Raw genomic sequence first — 6,210 nt, 5'->3', positions numbered from 1 at the left:
GTTGAAAAGAGAATAGGATCACATTTTAAATTTAGGAGACTTACCCTGGCATGAATGAGGAGGATGTATAGTAAGAAGAGTTCATAGAGGCTGCAAGACAATGTAGAAGAATTTGGTCAGAGCTGGGGAGGACATAGACCAGACTGTGATATGACTGTGTGATGGGAAAGAAGGAACTCGTAAAGGTGATTCTGGGGCAATGGAGGGAATAGAACATAGTGCACTGTTAGGAGTCAGGAGGGAGGGGAGCTGTCATTGGCTGCCTCATGTCCACCCTGAAAGATACCCACATCCTAGTTCCTGAAATCTGTGAATGTTCCATTATATGACAAAAAAAGCACTTGGCAGACACGATCAAACATAATGAGATGGGGTGTTATTCTGAATAATCTGCAGGGTCCCAAAACCAAACCTGTGTATTTTGTGATTAAAAGTCAGGGTGGTGGCTCACGTCTGTAATCCCAGCACTTTGGGAGGCCGAGGTGGGTGGATCACGAGGTCAGGAGATCAAGACCATCCTGGCTAACACGGTGAAACCCCATCTCTACTAAAAATACAAAAAATTAGCCGAGCATGGTGGCGGGCGCCTGTAGTCCCAGCTACTCGGGAGGCTGAGGCAGGAGAACAGCGTGAACCCGGGAGGTGGAGCTTGCAGTGAGCCGAAATGGTGCCACTGCACTCCAGCCTGGGCGACAGAGCGAGACTCCTTCTCAAAAAAAAAAAAAAAAAAAAGCCAAGGTGGGTGGGGTTGATGTAGAAAGAAAAGAAGGGAACATATCATGGAGGCAGAGGTTGGAGTGATGTGGCCACAGGACCAGGACAATTATTAGCCCAGAAGCCAGAAGCAACCCTTAGTGAATTCCCCCCAAGAGTCCCCAGAGGGAGCGGAGCCCTGCTGCCCCCTAACGTCTTCACAGTGATACTAATGTTGGACTTCTGACCCCCAGAGATGCCTGAGAATCAGTCGTTTTAAGCCATGAAGTTTGCAGATTTTTGTTCCAGTAGTCACAGGACACCAAGCAGGGAAACTGTGGTGTCTCTCTGTGTCCTGGTCAGGGTGCTTGCTGGGTGGGTGCCTTAGCCTGGATGGGCTCATGGAAGGGAGAGCAGGCTGGGGGCAGACCCTGTGCTCAGTTTTACATCCTGCTCCTGAAATGACTGTGGAGTGCGCACTGGGAGCTGTCCAGTTGTCAGGGGGTGCTGGTCTCTGGAGCTCTTGGGAGAGCTTGAGGAAGGAAGCATTCACCTCAGGTGCTGGTGAGTGATGCAGACGCTGAGGAGTGCTCTGAGCGTGGGGAGTAAAACAATGTGAACTCCAGGTTGAAACCTAAAGAGGACCCCAAATTGTGATAAGTGGAAAATGAAGTATACTGGACATGACGGAGGACAGAAAGCATAGTGCAGAGAGAGCACCAAGCAGGCTGACTGTGGGTCTGAGGGGACATCAGAGTAAAGTCACTGATAGGTGGGAACCCTCGGCCTGGATACCCATTCAGGCTGGGGGTTCTCTCAGTGTAAGACCAGTGGAACATTTCAATTCCTGTGTCCTTGTTACCATGGTTTTTATTCACGGCTGCAAGATGGGAAATCTGTAAGGAATGCAGGATAATTCCTACCAAATATTCTCCTCTGTGACACCTGGACTCAGGCCCCATTAGTAACAGGATGCTGGTTCTCTGGAGTTAATTATCACCCACAGCAAAAGGCCACTCCACTATGGAAACCACCCTGTACTCAAGGCTCGAGACTGCAGGATTATAACAAGACCAGTGGAGACGTGGAGAGCAAGTGATTTATTAAAGCAAGACGTTGAAACCTTTACATTCTGCAGTGAAGATCAGGGTGTCATTGAAAGACAGTGGAAACCAGGATGAAAGTTTTTACATGTCACACACTACATTTCTTCAATATTTTCACCTAAAATAGGAAAAGAAAAAAGAAGGTGGGGTCAGTCATGCTGCTGCTGGAGGTGACAGGCTCACATCCAAGAGGCCAGTGGGATTCTGCCCCCAAAGGCAATTGGAAGGGCAGAGGCAACAACTCAGTTTGGGAAACTGAGGCCTAGACCTGGTGGCCTCACAGCACCCATGCCGGTGATGGAGCAGCCTTTTCTTGCCAGGCCAATAGCCCTGGGGTGATCCGGGAATGAGGCCCAGGATCCTCATGGAAGCAAGTGACGAGGGTTGGAGAGAGCAGCAAGAGGTTATTGCCTGGGCTGTCCCAGGGCTTGGAGTCTCCTGGTTCCTGCAGTGAGGGACCCAGGACTGAGAGGCTGGTCAGGGCTGAGAGGGCTTCTGGGAAGCTTGGCTTCCAGGAGACTCCAGCCTCCCCATGTGGGAATTCTGCCTCAGGGCCCGAGCACCTCTCAGTCCCGAGCCTGCAGCTTCCATGAGCATTTGCAGCTAAACCTCAGGACAGCAACTCAGAGGCAGCCAGGCAGAGAGGCCCCTGGAAAACCTCTGATTTCTTGAGAAAGACAGAGTGAGAACATCCCGCTTCCATGGCACTGCAGGAGGTAGACTAGCTAGGGTCTTGGACGACTGGCCATGGTCAGGAGAGTGTCGTGGGTGTGGAGGGGAGTATGGGGTCTCAGGAGCTGGGAGGGGCTCCTTCCTGGCTCTGCAGAAGCTGCAGAGAAGTCCAGCCTGCCAGTGCTACATCTGCAGGAGCCCCTGCTCTATGTCCCTCCCTGCCTTCCTCTCCCTGTTCAAGGCTCCCATGCTCCCCAGGACATTCCACAGTGACTGTGTCCATTACATGAGGGCAGTTTGGTCTCAGGAAAGCTCCCAGCAGCGAGGCGGCCATGCTTGGCCCTTTACCATTTCTGCCTGGGCCCAGGCTCACTCCCCATGTCCTCAGCACACTCTGGGGACATGGCATCCAGGCAGGTGACATGAGAAGGAGGAACATGCAGGAGGCTGTGTGCAGCTGAGTTGAATTCTGCAGGTGAAATGGTGGCACCCACCCTGTGGCCCCAGGTGACCTTCTCAAGAGGTGACCAGCAAGGCAGCTGCCCCACCACCTGTGTCCCCAACAGAGCAGCAAGCTGACCTCACTTCATACTGTGCAGCTGACCAGAAGCCTTAACAAATAAAGGAGAAAGAAGTTACCAGGACTTCCGCAATGAGGCTTCGTTTCTGAAGGGACATCTGATCCGTGCATCTCTTCACTCCTAACTTGGCTGCAACAGCTTCCGGAGGGGCATCAAATTTGGCAAGACTTAACTTGAACAGAGGTTCACTAATGAAGAAGAAGTCTAACAGCTCAGAAACAAGAGCTGGGCAGAACTCGGCATTGGCTGCAGCAAAAGAATAAAAATATAGTTGATGTTAGGAAAGTCGATTTTTCTCTTTGGCTCCCTGACGTTAGACCAGACAGGATCCCCTGGGTTATATGTTCACATACATTTGTTGTGCTGATGACAATGCCAGACCCTTCAGGTGTGACTTCCTCAAGCTCTCACAATAAAGGAAAGCACTTCATATCAACAGCCAAACTCTTTTTTTTCCCTTTGTCACCCAGGCTGGAATTCAGTAGCTCAATCATGGCTCACTGCAGCCTCTACCTCCTGGGCTCAAGCGATATCCCCATCTCAGCCCCCTAAGTAGCTGAGACTACTGGTGCATGTCACCACGTCCAGCTGATTTTTCATATTTCTTTTGGTAAAGCTGGAGTTTCGCCACGTTGCCTAGGCCGGACTCAAACTCCTGAGCTCAAGCAATTCACTCTCCTTGACCTTCCAAAGTGCTAGGATTACAGGCATGAGCCGCCATGCTTAGCCCACAGCTAGACTCTTTTGACAGTATTAATCTTTCTTACTCCATTCTCATAGCCTCTCCTGGCAGAAGCGCTAACTACCAGTGATAGGAGGAGGCTCAGGGAGGGTGAGCATTGTGCCCAAGGTCAAAGGGCTGGGAAGTGGCGGATCCCAGATTCACCCCAGACCTCACATTACATCATCTGACACAGATCCCACCCAGGAGTGAAGCTCAGGCAGAAGAATTCCTAATATTTGCCTGCACTGATTTTCAATAAAACTTCGTAGGTGCTGGGGAGTAGAAGAAATAGCTCTGAACTTGATGAGGGGCTTGTTCAACAAGCACAGAAAAAGGTTTGGAATTTTGGTTTTGTGCAGATCCTAACCCCAGCCTGAATAGGTGACCTCGTGCTTGGAAGAGGGTGCTTCCCAGGGGCTGGAGCTAGACTCATGACTGATGTACTCACCCTGGTAGCAGCAGAGGGCCAGCGTGACCAGCAGGAGACACACCGACAGCTTCATGGTGGCTTGTTTTGCTGTGAGCTCAGCTTTCACAAACAATGAGTGATTTGGACTCCACCCCAGGAGCCTGTGGAGCTGCAGAGCCCAGGGCTATTTGTACCTAGGGAGTCTAGCTGGTACTGGTCATGAGGCCTGGCTCCCAGCCCACCTCTCCTTCCCAGGGCTGTTGCCATCCATCTGTGTCACCTCCCCACGCCTCCCTGCACTCTGACTGGGGCAGAGCACAGGAGGGTAGCCCTGCAGGAACTCTGCTCTGTGTTCCAGGTGAATGTTCAGGCACCTCTGGAAATATTCCTGGGATTCTGTTTCCTTCTGAGTTTTGCTGATTATTTTTTTTCTTTGTATCAGTTCAAGGGCACAGGTAAATTCTGACTTTGGAAGGCACAGGAAGCTGGAAGGCTGTGTTCTGGTTATGGGGGAGCAGGGACATAAGGAAACCCTGCTTTGATCCCCCTGCATGTCTGACAACCAGTAGGCTTGTTTCAGTTGCACATTGAGCAAGTCTAAACAAGACCTATTCCCCTCAGCCCCTCCCATCACCACCATGTTCACTGCATAGGTACCTAAAACCTAGTTCAATGCATCTTACCTTTGGAGGATTTCCTGGGGAAAAGCAACTGCTGCACCTGTTCTCTAGCCTGTCTCACTCCCAAACCTGAGTCTTGTTTATGAGTGCAGCTATAAATATGGCCAAGACTCACATTTTCTCTCTACGAGGAGCAAGCTTTCTGTGATGTGTAGCCACCCACATGTTGATGGGTTGACCTGATGATTACATAGCCTAACTTTTTCCAAGTAGCTTTTGGAGTGTCCAGAGCCAATCATGCATCGGACAGGTACTGAGAGTTCTTTGCTCTGGGGCTCCAGGAGGGGAAGAAGATGGAAAAGAAGAGACAGATGATCAGGGTGAGTGGTCACTTCCCCCCAACCTCTAGGCTCAAGTTTTCCACTTCAAATCTAGCTGTGCAGCCTGAGCCAATCCCATTTTTAATAGAAAGGGAAGGAAGCACCCAGACAAAGCAATACACACCCTCCTGCCCTCCTGCTGTGATGCCTTTGTGTGGTGTGAGCAGGAAATCAATCACTAGAAATTTCTCTCTCTTTTTTGTTATTATACTTTAAGTTTTAGGGTACGTGTGCACAACGTGCAGGTTAGCTACATATGTATACATGTGCCATGTTGGTGTGCTGCACCAATTAACTCATCATTTAACATTAGGTATATCTCCTAATGCTATCCCTCCCCCCTCCCCCCACCCCACAACAGTCCCTGGTGTGTGCTGTTCCCCTTCCTGTGTCCATGTGTTCTCATTGTTCAATTCCCACCTATGAGTGAGAACACGCGGTGTTTGTTTTTTTGTCCTTGCGATAGTTTGCTGAGAATGATGGTTTCCAGCTTCATCCATGTCCCTACAAAGGACATGAACTCATCATTTTTTATGGCTGCATAGTATTCCGTGGTGTATATGTGCCACATTTTTTTAATCCAGTCTATCATTGTTGGACATTTGGGTTGGTTCCAAGACTTTGCTATTGTGAATAGTGCTGCAATAAACATACGTGTGCATGCGTCTTTATAGCAGCATGATTTATAATCCTTTGGGTATATACCCAGTAATGGGATCGCTGGGTCAAATGGTATTTCTAGTTCAAGGTCCCTGAGGAATCGCCACACTGACTTCCACAATGGTTGAACTAGTTTACATAATCATGTGATTTTTTCATTGGTTCTGTTTATATGCTGGATTACATTTATTGATTTACGTATGTTGAACCAACCTTGCATCCCAGGGATGAAGCCCAATTGATCATGGTGGATAAGTTTAATGCCCACAAGAGAAAGCAGGAAAAATCTAAAATTGACACCCTAACATCACAATTAAAAGAACTAGAGAAGCAAGAGCAAACATATTCAAAAGCTAGCAGAAGGC

General features: G+C 49.4%; 1 protein-coding gene across 1 annotated transcript; it reads right to left on the bottom strand.

The window, feature by feature from the left end:
• Positions 1-1,774: 1,774 nt before the first annotated feature.
• On the bottom strand, positions 1,775-4,348 carry SCGB1D2 (secretoglobin family 1D member 2). The gene is made up of 3 exons (NM_006551.4): positions 4,225-4,348; positions 3,111-3,298; positions 1,775-1,917 (listed from the first exon to the last, which is right to left on the bottom strand). The coding sequence occupies exons 1-3, from the start codon at positions 4,277-4,279 to the stop codon at positions 1,888-1,890; spliced, it is 273 nt and encodes a 90-aa protein (NP_006542.1). The 5' UTR covers positions 4,280-4,348; the 3' UTR covers positions 1,775-1,887.
• Positions 4,349-6,210: the final 1,862 nt, after the last annotated feature.

This window comes from Homo sapiens, chromosome 11, assembly GCF_000001405.40.
Source record: "Homo sapiens chromosome 11, GRCh38.p14 Primary Assembly".
Taxonomy (NCBI): domain Eukaryota; kingdom Metazoa; phylum Chordata; class Mammalia; order Primates; family Hominidae; genus Homo; species Homo sapiens.
The sequence above is the reverse complement of the archived record's forward strand: the minus strand, read 5'-3'. Positions and strand labels throughout refer to the sequence as shown.

Coding starts and splice junctions, on each gene's coding strand:
- SCGB1D2 (NM_006551.4), bottom strand. CDS start 4,279: ATGAAGCTGTCGGTGTGTCTCCTGCTGGTCACGCTGGCCCTCTGCTGC. Junction 3,299..4,224: donor GGCCCTCTGCTGCTACCAGG/GTGAGTACATCA, acceptor CTTTTGCTGCAG/CCAATGCCGAGTTCTGCCCA. Junction 1,918..3,110: donor GCCTCATTGCGGAAGTCCTG/GTAACTTCTTTC, acceptor TTCCTATTTTAG/GTGAAAATATTGAAGAAATG.